The sequence below is a fragment of the Homo sapiens genome, chromosome X (genome assembly GCF_000001405.40).
Source record: "Homo sapiens chromosome X, GRCh38.p14 Primary Assembly".
In the NCBI taxonomy this organism is placed as follows: Eukaryota; Metazoa; Chordata; class Mammalia; order Primates; family Hominidae; genus Homo; species Homo sapiens.
Genome location: NC_000023.11, coordinates 74,470,628 through 74,485,597, shown reverse-complemented (window position 1 = coordinate 74,485,597; position 14,970 = coordinate 74,470,628). Strand labels below are relative to the sequence as shown.

At 39.1% G+C, this 14,970-nt stretch overlaps 1 protein-coding gene and 1 pseudogene across 1 annotated transcript in view; one reads left to right on the top strand and one right to left on the bottom strand.

The window, feature by feature from the left end:
* SLC16A2 (solute carrier family 16 member 2) overlaps nucleotides 1-14,970 on the bottom strand; it is a 112,424-nt gene that overhangs the window by 48,319 nt on the left and 49,135 nt on the right. The gene's annotated exons all lie outside the window — the stretch shown is intronic.
* On the top strand, nucleotides 11,585-12,918 carry HNRNPA1P25 (heterogeneous nuclear ribonucleoprotein A1 pseudogene 25; annotated as a pseudogene).

The window sequence follows — 14,970 nt, the reverse complement described above, 5'->3', positions numbered from 1 at the left end:
AAAAGGCTTGCTGCCATCTTGGGAGTGGCCGCGCCATTTGGGAGTGGCCGCCCCATCTTGGGAGCAGCCTTCCACCATCTTGGGAGCTCTAAGAGCAAAGATCCCCTGGTAACATTAGAATAAAGATACCTTGTGACAAGGCCTTCTGAGTATAATACTCCCAGTTATAAGTTGCAAAGATATATATATATATAAAGATATCTATATATATTTAAGTTTTTCTAGAAAAATGCTTATGTTTTCTTTAGCGAATGGCTAAAAGTCTGTAACTAAAACCAAGCTTACTGTAGCTCAACACATAGAAGTTAAAAATAAGTCAGTTTTGTAACTTTGCCTTTTTTTGTTTGTTGGCTTTTTCCTTAATTTTTTTTTTTTTTTTTTGAGATGGCATTTTGCTCTTGTTGCTCAGGCTGGAGTGCAATGGTGCGATCTCAACTCACTGCAACCTCCGCCTCCCAGGTTCAAGTGATTCTCCTGCCTAAGCCCCCCGAGTAGCTGGGATTACAGGCATGAGCCCCCACGCCCGGATAGTTTTGTATTTTTAGTAGAGACGAGGTTTCTCCATGTTGGTCAGGCTGGTCTCGAACTCCCGACCTCAGGTGATCTGCTCTCCTCGGCCTCCCAAAGTGCTGGGATTATAGGCGTGAGCCACTGCACCCGGCCAAAATAAGAATTTTAAGAGGTAATAAATGCCTGTCCACATCCATTCCTATCTGGCCTAGAGCAATTAATCAGCTGTTAAGTCTTTTGACTCTTAAGGCCCTGGGCCATAAAGAGCCCCACCAAGGGACAGAATGGACCTGGTGCAGGCAGCCTTGCCACCCTGACAACGCTATGGGACAAAATAAAGATTTGCTGGCTTTTAATGTTTCCTGTGCCAAATCTTGGCCAAAAAGGGGAAAATGTAAACCAAAAGTAAAATTATAAGGCTCCCCAACCATCTGAATGGACTTCCTCCTCAGCCAGGACTCTTAAAATTTAACCTGAGAGACTGTTTCAGGCCATGATGGGAAATGGGAGTTGAATATGCCTCATTATACCTCTCTGTTATTAACATCAACACAGACTTCAAGTCCGATAAGAAACATTTTACAACCTATTCTCTCTGAAGCCTGCTAGCTAAAAGCTTCCTCCGCACAATAAAACTTTGGTCTCCACAATCCTTTATCTTAACCCAAACATTTCCTTTCTATTGATCCCAGGTTCTTAAACAAACTCAACCAATTGTCAACCAGGAAATTAAAAAATTTACCTATAGCCTGGAAGCCCCAACTTCAAGTTGTTTTGCCTTTCTGAACCAAACCAATGTATATCCTAAATGTATTTGATTGATAGCTCATGCCCCTCTAAAATGAATGAAACTAAACTGCACTTTCACCATCTTGGGCACATGTTCTCAAGACCTTCTGAGGGCTGTGTCATGGGCCGTGGTCACTCATATTTGGCTCAGAATAAATATCTTCAAATATTTTACAGAGTTTGACTCTTTTCATCAACACATCCCTACCTCCCAGTTTAGTATGATGGAAATTCTATTCTAGTTGGGTGTAGTCAATAACATGGAGCTCTCTCTTCCTCCAGCTCCTAGTACAGGGCAACAGTTTGACTCTAGGAGGGTAGTCTACTGGAATCTCTCATCCTCTAATCCCAAGCTCCATGTTGCAGAAGTTTTATTCCACTTAAGTGAGGCCAAGAGGACTGGGAAGCCCTTCCCCTAGTCAGCTCCCATTGGTAAAATGGAATCTCTACCTCAAGCATGGTGGGCCAATAATACTGTATCTCTGATCACTCTGCCCCAGCTCACTCATAGGGTGCATGTTCAATGCTAGAAAAAAACAAGTTGAGAAAATCCATAGCTACCATTCCTGCCCAGCACCCTGCTCATAGAGCAGGGGTGTCATTCTGGAAGAAAGAAGCTTCTCTCCCTACCTCTAATGTCTAGTGTAGTAGAGCAGAGATTCTGTCCATGAGGTGAGATGAGTTTTAAGAATGGAGAGCTCCTTGGCTCTCCCCAAGGAGTCTATCTTTATTTGGAAAAGAGAGTGAAGAAGTTTTTGTCTATAGTATTGTCAGGAACAACGACAATCTTGGTGGTAAGCAATCAAGAGGGCACCAGAAGCACTATGATTCTAGTAGCAGCTGCAGAATGGTTCACCAGCTAGAAGTTTAACAGAGAGAACCAGAGAAAAAGCTAAGAAGAACCCTTTTAGGGTCTGGGCAAGCCTTGAAGACTTGAGAAGACCCAATTTTAATGTGGAAAAATTTATTTCCCAGGGCATTGTTTAAAAACACTAATGGAATTAAGAAGTGGAGGCTAATAGCTGGTAGTGATATTATTAGAGATAGATCATCCAGAAGCTCAAAGAGGATCTTAGGTAAGGAGACAGACAGCCCAGTTAAAATCACAGTATCACTGGTGGTAGATACTGTGTACATGCCCAAGACTGTGACCTCTGAGGAGTGACACAGAGGCTGTATGCTGCAGGGAAATAGGCTTCATTGAACTAGGCCAGATGTTGAACTTAGAGGACAAAGCAGCTACTATAAATATGTTCAAAGACCTAAAGGAAGCTATGCTTAAAGAACTAAAAGAGTCAGTCAGGGTGGCTCATGTCTGTAATCCCAGCACTTTTCAGAGGCCAAAGCAAGAGGATCACTTGAGTCCAGGAGTTTAAGACCAGCCTGGGCAACACAGTGCCCATCTCTACAAAAAATAAACAAAATTAGCTGAAAATAGCTGTTTGTGGTGGCAGATGGCTGTGGTCCCAGCTACTTGGGAGGCTGAGATGGGAGAATCAGTTGAGCCCAGGAAGTCAAGGCTGCAGCAAGCCAAGACTGTACAACTGCACTCCACCCTGGGTGACCTAGAGAGACCCTGTCTAAGAAAAAAAAAACAACTAAAAGAATTTGTGAGAAATTCTTTCCATCAAATAGAAAATCAATAAAGAGATCTAAACTAAGAATGTCTAGTGTTGAAAAATACAATAACTGGAACAAAAAAATTCATAGAAGAGATCAACAGTAGACTTCAGGTGGCAGGAAATAAAGTTAGCAAACTTGAAGATAGATCAATACATATTGTGCAAATTGAAGAAGATTGAGGACACAGAATGATGAATAATGAACAGAGACTCAGAGAAATGTGGGGCATTATTAAGCACACCAATATACATGCAATGGGATTCCCAAAGAGAAGAGAGCGAGAAATAAACAGAAGAAAATATTCAAAAATAAGAAAAACTTTCAAAATTTGAAGAAAGATATATTAATCTACACCTCTAAGAAGCTCTACAAATAACAAATAGGATAAACACAAGGAGAGACACTTCAGACACACCACATCAAAATGTCAGAAGCCAAAAACCAAGGGAAACTTTAAAAGTAGCAAGAGAAAATTAGTTATCACATATAAGAGGAATTCCAATAAGATTTATGGCTGACTTCTACCAGAAAGAATAGAAGCTAAAAGACATAGAGGAATGACATATTCAAAATGATGAAAGGAAAAAACTGTCAACCAAAAATCTTGTATATGAAATATCCAGAATAGGAAAATTCAGAGATACAGAGAGTAGATTATTGGTCATTAGGAGCTAGGGCCTAGGGCACTAAGGGAGAAACTGCTATTGGTTACAGGGTTTATTTTGGTGGTTTTGAAATGTTGTGGAATTAGATCATGGTAATGGTTGCAAGACATTGAAAATACATTTAAAACACTGAATTGTACACTTTTAAAGGGTGAATTTTATGGTCTATGAATTTTATCTCAATAAAAAAATTTAAAAACATCTCAAATCAATAACCTAATATTCCAACTAAAGAAACTAGAAAAAGAATAGCAGACTAAACCCAAAGCAAGCAGAAGGAAGGCAATAATAAAAACTTAACAGGAACAAATAAAATAGAGTAAAAAACAAAGGAGAAAATCACATGAAATCATAAGTTGGTTTTGTGAAAAGATCCACAGAACTGGCAAACGTTTAATTAGACTTCATGAGAAAAATAAAGAGAAGATGCAAATCAGTAAAATTAAGAATAAAGAGGAGACATCAGTATTAATCTTACAGAAATACAAGGAACATAAAGAAATACTATGAACAGTTGTATGCTATTAAATTAAATTACTTAAATGAAAGGGAAAAATTTCTATAAAGACAGAAACGACCAAAATCTATGCAAGAAACAGAAAATCTGAATTTAACTGTAACAAGTAAAAAGATAGAATTAGTAATTAAAATGCTCTGCTCCCCCTAAATATACCCCCAACTCAAATGTCTTCACTGGTGAATTTTACCGAATATTTAGAAAATAATTAATACCAATCCTTCACAAAATCTTCTAGAACAGGAGGAAATATTTCCCAACTCATTCTGTGAAGTCAGCCAAAGATATCACAAGAAAAGAATACTACAGACCAATATCTTTTAAGAGAATTGATGCAAAAATAAAATCATTGACAAAATCTAGCAAATTAACTCCAGTTACATATAGAAAAAATTATAAATCATGACCAAATGGGGTTTATCCCAGGAATGTAAAATTGAGTTAACATTTGATAATCAACCAATGTAATACGCTATCTCAATAGAATAAAAGACAAAGAAGATCACATGATTATTTCGAGAGATGCAGAGAAAGCATTTGATAAAATATAACATTCTTTCACAATAAAAACATTCAACAAACTAGGAATAAAAGGGAATTTTTTCAACATGATAATGGTCATCTATGAAAATCCCAAGGCTAATATACTTATTGCTGAAAGACTGCTTCCCCTGTAAGATAAACAACAAGACAAGAATGTTTGCTGTCATATCTATTATTCAGCATTGTACTTGAGGTTTCAGCCAGGACATTTAGACAAGAAAAGGAAATAAAAGGCATCCAGATTGGAAAAGGAAAAAATAAAACTACCTCTATTTGTAGATGACATGATCTTTTATATAGAAAATACTGACTTTTTCTTGAGGGTGGAGCCAAGATGGATGAATAGGAACAACTCCAGTCTACAGCTCCCAGTGTGAGTGATGTAGAAGATTAATGATTTCTGCATTTCCAACTGAGGTACTGGGTGCATCTCACTGGGGATTGTCAGACAGTGGGTGCAGGACAGTGGGTGCAGTGCACTGAGCCTGAGCCAAAGCCGGGCGAGGCTTTGCCTCATGCAAGAAGTGCAAGGGGTCAGGGAATTTCCTTTCCCAGCCAAGGAAAGGGGTAACGGATGGCACCTGGAAAATCGGGTCACTAACACCCTAATACTGCACTTTTCCAATGGCCTTAGCAAACAGCACACCAGGAGATTATATCCCGTGCATGGCTGGGAGGGTCCTAGGCCCATGGAGCCTCATTCATTGCTAGCACAGCAGTCTGAGATTGAACTGCAAGGCAGCAGTGAGGCTGTGGGAGGGACGCCCAACATTGCTGAGGCTTGAGTAGGTAAACAAAGCGGCCAGGAAGCTCAAACTGGGTGGAGCCCACTGCAGCTCAAGGAGGCCTGCCTGCCTCTGTAGACTCCACCTCTGGGGGCAGGGCATAGCCAAACAAAAGGCAGCAGAAATCCTGCAGACTTAAATGTCCCTATCTGACAGCTTTGAAGAGAGTAGTGGTTCTCCCAGCATGCAGCTTGAGATCTGAGAATGGACAGACTGCATCCTCAGGGGGGTCCCTGATGCCCAAGTAGCCTAACTAGGAGGCAACCCCCAGTAGGGGTAGACTGACAACTCACACGGCTGGGTACTCTTCTGAGACAAAACTTCCAGAGGAACGATCAGGCAGCAACATTTGCTGTTCACCAATATCCATTGTTCTGCAGCCTCTGCTGCTGATACCCAGGCAAACAGGGTCTGGAGTGGACCTCCGGCAAACTCCAACCCACCTGCAGCTGAGGGTCCTGACTGTTAGAAGGAAAACTAACAAACAGAAAGGACATCCACACCAAAACCCCATCTGTACATCACCATCATCAAAGACCAAAGGTAGATAAAACCACAAACATGGGGAAAAAACAGAGCAGAAAAACTGAAAATTCTAAAAATCAGAGCGCCTCTCTTCCTCCGAAGGAATGCACCTCCTCACCAGCAATGGAACAAAGCTGGAGGGAGAATGACTTTGACGAGTTGAGAGAAGAAGCCTTCAGAAGATCAAACTACTCCGAGCTAAAGGAGGAAGTTCAAACCCATGGCAAAGAAGTTAAAAACCTTGAAAAAAGATTAGATGAAAGGCTAACTAGAATAACCAATGCTGAGAAGTCCTTAAAGGACCTGATGGAGCTGAAAACCATGGCATGAGAACTACATGATGAATGCACAAGCCTCAGTAGCCAATTCGATCAACTGGAAGAAAGGGTATCAGTGATGGAAGATCAAATGAATGAAATGAAGCGAGAAGAAAAGTTTAGAGAAAAAAGAATAAAAAGAAATGAACAAAGCCTCCAAGAAATATGGGACTATGTGAAAAGACCAAATCTACATCTGATTGGTGTACCTGAAAGTGACGGGGAGAATGGAACCAAGTTGGAAAACACTCTGCCGGATATTATCCAGGAGAACTTCCTGAATCTAGCAAGGCAGGCCAACATTCACATTCAGGAAATACAGAGAACGCCACAAAGATACTCCTCGAGAAGAGCAACTCCAAGACACATAATTGTCAGATTCACCAAAGTTGAAATGAAGGAAAAAATGTTAAGGGCAGCCAGAGAGAAAGGTCGGGTTACCCACAAAGAGAAGCCCATCAGACTAACAGCAGATCTATCGGCAGAAACTCTACAAGCCAGAGGAGAGTTGGGGACCAATATTCAACATTCTTAAAGAAAAGAATTTTCAACCCAGAATTTCATATCCAGCCAAACTAAGCTTCATAAGTGAAGGAGAAATAAAATCCTTTACAGACAAGCAAATGCTGAGAGATTTTGTCACCACCAGGCCTGCCCTAAAAGAGCTCCTGAAGGAAGCACTCAACATGGAAAGGAACGACCGGTACCAGCCACTGCAAAAACATGCCAAATTGTAAAGACCATCGAGGCTAGGAAGAAACTGCATCAACTAACAAGCAAAATAACCAGCTAACATCATAATGACAGGATCAGATTTACACATAACAATATTAACTTTAAATGCAAATGGGCTAAATGCTCCCAATTAAAAGGCATAGACTGGCAAATTGGATAAAGAGTCATCAGTGTGCTGTATTCAGGAAACCCATCTCATGTGCAGAGACACACATAGACTCAAAATAAAGGGATGGAGGAAGATCTACCAAGCAAATGGAAAACAAAAAAAAGGCAGGGGTTGCAATCCTGGTCTCTGATAAAACAGACTTTAAACCAACAAAGATCAAAAGAGACAAAGAAGGCCATTACATAATGGTAAAGGCATCAATTCAACAAGAAGAGCTAACTATCCTAAATATATATGCACCCAATACAGGAGCACCCAGATTCATAAAGCAAGTCCTTAGAGACCTACAAAGAGACTTAGACTCCCACACAATAACAAGGGGAGACTTTAACACCCCACTGTCAACCTTAGATAGATCAATGAGACAGAAAGTTAATGAGGATATCCAGGAACTGATCTCAGCTCTGCACCAAGCAGACCTAATAGACATCTACAGAACTCTCCAACCCAAATCAACAGAATATGCGTTCTTTTCAGCACCACACCACACCTATTCCAAAATTGACCACATACTTTGAAGTAAAGCACTCCTCAGCAAATGTAAAAGAACAGAAATTGTAACTATAACAAACTGCCTCTCAGACCACAGTGCAATCAAACTAGAACTCAGGACTGAGAAACTCACTCAAAACCACTCAACTACATGGAAACTGAACAACCTGCTCCTGAATGACTACTGGGTACATAACGAAATGAAGGCAGAAATAAAGATGTTCTTGGAAACCAATGAGAACAAAGATACAACATACCAGAATCTCTGGGAAACATTTAAAGCAGTGTGTAGAGGGAAATTTATAGCACTAACTGCCCACAAGAGAAAGCAGGAAAGATCTCAAATTGACACCCTAAAATCACAATTAAAAGAACTAGAGAAGCAAGAGCAAACACATTCAAAAGCTAGCAGAAGGCAAGATATAACTAAGATCAGAGCAGAACTGAAGGAGATAGAGACACAAAAACCCCTTAAAAAAATCAATGAATCCAGGAGCTGGTTTTTTGAAAAGATCAACAAAATGGATAGACCGCTAGCTAGACTAATAAAGAAGAAAAGAGAGAAGAATCAAATAGATGCAATAAAAAAATGATAAAGGGGATATCACCACCGATCCCACAGAAATACAAACTACCATCAGAGAATACTATAAACACCTCTACACAGATAAACTAGAAAATCTAGAAGAAATGGGTAAATTCTTTGACACATACACCCTCCCAAGACTAAACCAGGAAGAACTGGAATATCTGAATAGACCAATAACAGGCTCTGAAAATGAGGCAATAATTAATAGCTTACCAACCAAAAAAAAGTCCAAGACCAGATGGATTCACAGCCGAATTCTACCAGAGGTACAAGGAGGAGCTGGTACCATTCCTTCTGAAACTATTCCAATCAATAGAAAAAGAGGGAATCCTCCCGAACTCATTTTATGAGGCCAGCATCATTCTGATACCAAAGCCTGGCAGAGACACAACAAAAAAAGAGAATTTTAGACCAATATCCTTGATGAACATCGATGCAAAAATCCTCAATAAAATACTGGCAAACCAAATCCAGCAGCACATCAAAAAGCTTATCCATCATGATCAAGTGGGCTTCATCCCTGGGATGCAAGGCTGGTTCAACATACAAAAATCAATAAACGTAATCCAGCATATAAACAGAACCAATGACAAAAACCACATGATTATCTCATTAGATGCAGAAAAGGCCTTTGACAAAATTCAACAGCCCTTCATGCTAAAAACTCTCAAGAAATTAGGTATTGATGGGATGTATCTCAAAATAATAAGAGCTATTTATGACAAACCCACAGCCAATATCATACTGAATGGACAAAAACTGGAAGCATTCCCTTTGAAAACTGGCACAAGACAGGGATGCCCTCTCTCACCACTGCTATTCAACATAGTGTTGGAAGTTCTGGCCAGGGCTATCAGGCAGGAGAAAAAAATAAAGGGTATTCAGTTAGGAAAAGAGGAAGTCAAACTGTCCCTGTTTGCAGATGACATGATTGTGTATCTAGAAAATCCCATTGTCTCAGACCAAAATCTCCTTAAGCTCATAAGCAACTTCAGCAAAGTCTCAGGATACAAAATCAATGTACAAAAATCACAAGCATTCTTATACACCAATAACAGACAGAAAGCCAAATCAGGAGTGAACTCCCATTCACAATTGCTTCAAAGAGAATAAAATACCTAGGAATCCAACTTACAAGGGATGTGAAGGACCTCTTCAAGGAGAACTACAAACCACTGCTTGATGAAATGAAAGAGGATACAAACAAATGGAAGAACATTCCATGCTCATGGGTAGGAAGAATCAATATTGTGAAAATGGCCATACTGCCCAAGGTAATTTATAGATTCAATGCCATCCCCATCAAGCTACCAATGACTTTCTTCACAGAATTGGAAAAAACTACTTTAAAGTTCATATGGAACCAAAAAAGAGCCCACATTGCCAAGTCAATCCTAAGCCAAAAGAGCAAAGCTGGAGGCATCACGCTACCTGACTTCAAACTATACTACAGGGCTACAGTAACCAAAACAGCATGGTACTGGTACCAAAACAGAGATATAGACCAATGGTACAGAGCAGAGGCCTCAGAAATAATGCCACATATCTACAACTACCTGATCTTTGACAAACCTGAGAAAAACAAGCAATGGGGAAAGGATTCCCTATTTAATAAATGGTGCTGGGAAAACTGCCTAGCCATATGTGGAAAGCTGAAACTGGATCCCTTCCTTACACCTTATACTAAAATTAATTCAAGATGGATTAAAGATTTAAATGTTAGACCTAAAACCATAAAAATCCTAGAAGAAAACCTAGGCAATACCATTCAGGACACAGGCATGGGCAAGGACTTCATGTCTAAAACACCAAAAGCAATGGCAACAAAAGCCAAAATTGACAAATGGGATCTAATTAAACTAAAGAGCTTCTGCACAGCAAAAGAAACTACCATCAGAGTGAACAGGCAACCTACAAAATGGGAGAAAATTTTTGCAACCTACTCATCTGACAAAGGGCTAATATCCAGAATCTACAATGAACTCAAACAAATTTACAAGAAAAAAACAAACAACTCCATCAACAAGCGGGCGAAGGATATGAACAGACACTTCTCAAAAGAAGACATTTATGCAGCCAAAAGACACATGAAAAAATGCTCATCATCACTGGCCATCAGAGAAATGCAAATCAAAACCACAATGAGATACCATCTCACACCAGTTAGAATGGCGATCATTAAAAAGTCAGGAAACAACAGGTGCTGGAGAGGATGTGGAGAAATAGGAACACTTTTACACTGTTGGTGGGACTGTAAACTAGTTCAACTATTGTGGAAGTCAGTGTGGCGATTCCTCAGGGATCTAGAACCAGAAATACCATTTGACCCAGCCATCCCATTACTGGGTATATACCCAAAGGATTATAAATCATGCTGCTATAAAGACACATGCACACGTATGGTTATTGCGGCACTATTCACAATAGCAAAGACTTGGAACCAACCCAAATGTCCAACAATGATAGACTGGATTAAGAAAATGTGGCACATATACACCATGGAATACTATGCAGCCATAAAAAATGATGAGTTCATGTCCTTTGTAGGGACATGGATGAAGCTGAAAACCATCATTCTCAGCAAACTATCGCAAGGACAAAAAACCAAACACGGCATGTTCTCACTCGTAGGTGGGAATTGAACAATGAGAACACATGGACACAGGAAGGGGAACATCACACACCAGGGCCTGTTGTGGGGTGGGAGGAGGGGGGAAGGATAGCATTAGGAGATATACCTAATGTTAAATGACGAGTTAATGGGTGCAGCACACCAACATGGCACACATATATATATGTAACAAACCTGCACGTTGTGCACATGTACCCTAAAACTTAAAGTATAATAAAAAAAAAAAAACACTAAGGAATCTGCAAAAAAACCTGCTAGAACTAATAACTTAGTTTAGCAATGTTACAAGATAGAAAATCAATATACAAAGATGAATTACATTTCTATATACTAGCAATAAACAATCTTCAAATAAAATTAAAACAATTCCATTTACAAAAGCATCAAAAAGTATATACTACTTAGGAATAAATTTAACAAAAGGAGTATAAAACTTATACTCTGAAAGCTACAAAATATTGTCGGAGGAAATTAAAAATATCTAAATAATTGGAAACATTCCATTTTCATGGATCAGAACACTTAATATTATTAAGATGGCAATCTCTGTAAATTTACCTACAGATTCAACAATATCCCTATAAAAACCCTGGCTGCATTTTCTTTGCAGAAATTGACAAACTGATCCTAAGATGTGTATGAAAATGCAAGAGAACTAGAATAGCAAAAAGAATCTTGAAAAATGAACAACAGCTTTCTGCCCATGGACACTGCTGAGGAAGCGTCATTAAAGTCTGTCTTCACTCTGCCATCGTGTCTAAGTCAGCATCTCCTAAAGGGCCCGAACAGCTGAGGAAGCTCTTCATTGAAGGGTTGAGCTTTGAAACAACCTGAAAATGGCTCAAAATGGTTGAGTCATTTTAAACAATGGGGAATGCTCACAGACTGTGTGGTAATGAGTGATCCAAACACCAAGCCCTCCAGGGGCTTTGGATTTGTCACATATGACACCGTGGGGGAGATGGATGCAGCCATGAATGCAAGGCCACACAAGGTGGATGGAAGAGTTGTGGAACCAAAGAGAGCTGTCTCAAGAGAAGATTCTCAAAGACCAGGTGCCCACTTAACTTTGAAAAAGATATTTGTTGGTGGCATTAAAGAAGACACTGAAGAACATCAACTAAGAGATTATTTTGAATAGTATGGAAAAATTGAAGTAATTGAAATCATGACCGACTGAGGCAGTGGTAAGAAAAGGGATTTTGCCTTTGTAACCTTTGACAACCATGACTCCATGGATAAGACTGTCATTCAGAAATACCATAGTGTGAATGACCACAACTGTGAAGTTAGGAAAGCCCTGTCAAAGCAAGAGTTGGCCATTGCCTCATCCAGCCAGAGGTGGAAGTGGTTCTGGAAACTTTGATCATGGTCATGGAGGTGGTGGTCGTGGAGGAAGCTTCAGTTGTCATGGTGGCTTTGGTGGCAGTCATGGTGGTGGTGGTTATGGTGGCGGTGGGGATGGCTATAATGGATTTGGTAATGATGGAAGCAATTTTGGAGGTGGTGGAAGCTACAATGATTTTGGCAGTTACAACAATCAGTCTTCAAATTATGGACCCATGAAACTTTGGAGTCAGAAGCTCTGGCCCCTATGGTGGTGGAGGCCAATTCTTTGCCAAACCACAAAACCAAGGTGGCTATGATGGTTCCAGTAGTAGCAGTAGCTGTGGCAGTGGCAGAAGATTTTAATTAGGAAACAAACCTTAGCAGGAGCGGAGAGCCAGAGAAGTGGCAGGGAAGCTACAGGTTACAACAGATTTGTGAATTTAGCAAAGCACAGTGGTGGCAGGGCCTAGCTGCTACAAAGCAGACATGTTTTAGACAAATACTCATATGTATGGGAAAAAAACTCGAGGACTGTATTTGTGACTAATTGTATAACGGATTATTTTAGCTTCTGTTCTGTGGAAAGTGTAAAGCATTCCAACGAAGGGTTTTAATGTAGGTTGTTTTTTTTTTTTGCACCCATGCTGTTGATTGCTAAATGTAATAGTCTGATTATGATGCTGAATAAATGTCTTTTTAAAAAAAAAGAAGAAAGAAGAAAAATGAACAACAAAGTTGGGAGATTCACACTTCCTAATTTCACATCTACTACAAAGGTACAGTAATAAAAACCGTGTGGTACTTGCATAAGAATGAACGTACAGATTAATGAAACAAAATTGAGAGTCCATTTAAAAACCCCTTTATATTTCCTGTGAATTGATTAATAGCAAGGTTGCCAAGATAATTCAATATAGATAAAATAGTCTTTTCAGCAAATGGTGATGAGTCAACTAGATATTCACATACAAAAGAATGAAGCTGAATTCCTACATGACACCATATATAGAAATTAGCTCAAAATGAAGTACATACCTACATATAAGAATTAAAAATATAGAAGTCTTAGAAGAAAGCATAGAAGTAAATAGAATAGGCAATAGTTTTTAGAAATAATTTTAAAAGCACAAGCAACAAAAAAACACTAGATAAATTGGAGTTCATAAAAATTAAAAACATATTTCTGGGTATATACCCAAAATAATTGAAATCAGGGACTCAAACAGATATTTGTCCCCTAAAGTTCAGAGAAGCATCATTCACAATAGCCAAAAGGTGGGAACAACCCAAATGTCCATTGATGGATGATTGGATAAACAAAATGTATATGTATATGCATGTATGTATGTATGTGTGTATATACAATGAAATATTATTCACCCTTAAAAAGGAAGGAAATTCTGACACATGCTACAACATAGGTGAACCTGGAAGACATTATGCTAAGTGAAATAAGCCAGTTACAAAAAGACAAGTAAATACTGTGTGATTCCATTTACTTGATGTACCTAGAGTCATCAAATCCTTAGGGACAGAAAGTAGAATGGTGGTTGCCAAGGACTGAGAAGAAGAGAAAATGTTTAATAGACACAGAGTTTCAGTTTGGGAAGATGAAAAAGTACTGGAGATGGATGGTGGTGATAGTTGCACAAGAACATAAATGTACTTAGTGCCACTGAAATGTACACTTAAAATGGTTAAAATTATAAATTTTATGTTCTGTATATTTCACCACAATAAAACAATGAAAAACTTGTGCTTCAAGGGGCACCAGTAAGATAGTGAAAAGATAACACACAGAATGAGAGAAAATATTTTCAAATCATTTATCTGATAAGGGTTGAGTATCCAGAATATATATTTAAAACTTTAATAATTCAACAATAAAAAGACAAATAACATTGACAAATGGGCAAAGGTTTTCCAGTCTGGCATGTAAAGAGCTTGGAAGTTATCACTCTGTCCTAACAACAAATAAAAAGCTAAACAAACTGAAAAATAAACCACTGTTCTTAGAGCCATCAGAGAAATGAGGTCCCAGGATTATAATAACTGTCTTTCATTCCTAATCCTAAAATAACAGTAACAACACAGAGCTTACACCCTTCACAAAAATTCACACAAAACTAATCATAGACCTAAATGTAAAATGCAAAACTCTAAAATTCCTAGAAGATAATATAAAAGCAAATTTCAATGACCTTGGGTGGTAATTGTTTATGTATAACAACAAAGGCACAATCCATAAAAGATATAATTTGTAAACTGGACTTAATTAAAATTAAGAATCTCTGCTCTGTGAAAGACACTATCAAGTGAATGAGAAGATTGGGAGAAAATACTTGCAAATGACATATCTGATAAAGAATTGTTAATAATATATACAAAGAACTCTTAAAATTCAACAAAAAGAAAATAAATAACTTGATTTTTTTTTTTTGAGACGGAGTCTCGCTCTGTAGCCCAGGCTGGAGTGCAGTGGCGCCATCTTGGCTCACTGCAAGCTCCGCCTCCTGGGTTCACGCCATTCTCCTACCTCAGCCTCCCTAGTAGCTGGGACTACAGGTAGCCGCCACCACACCCGGCTAATTTTTTGTATTTTTAGTAGAGACGGGGTTTCACTGTGTTAGCCAGGATGATCTCGATCTCCTGATCTGCCCGCCTCGGCCTCCCAAAGTGCTGGGATTACAGGTGTTAGCCACCGCGCCTGGCATAACTTGATATTTTTAAAGGCAAATCTAAATGAACAC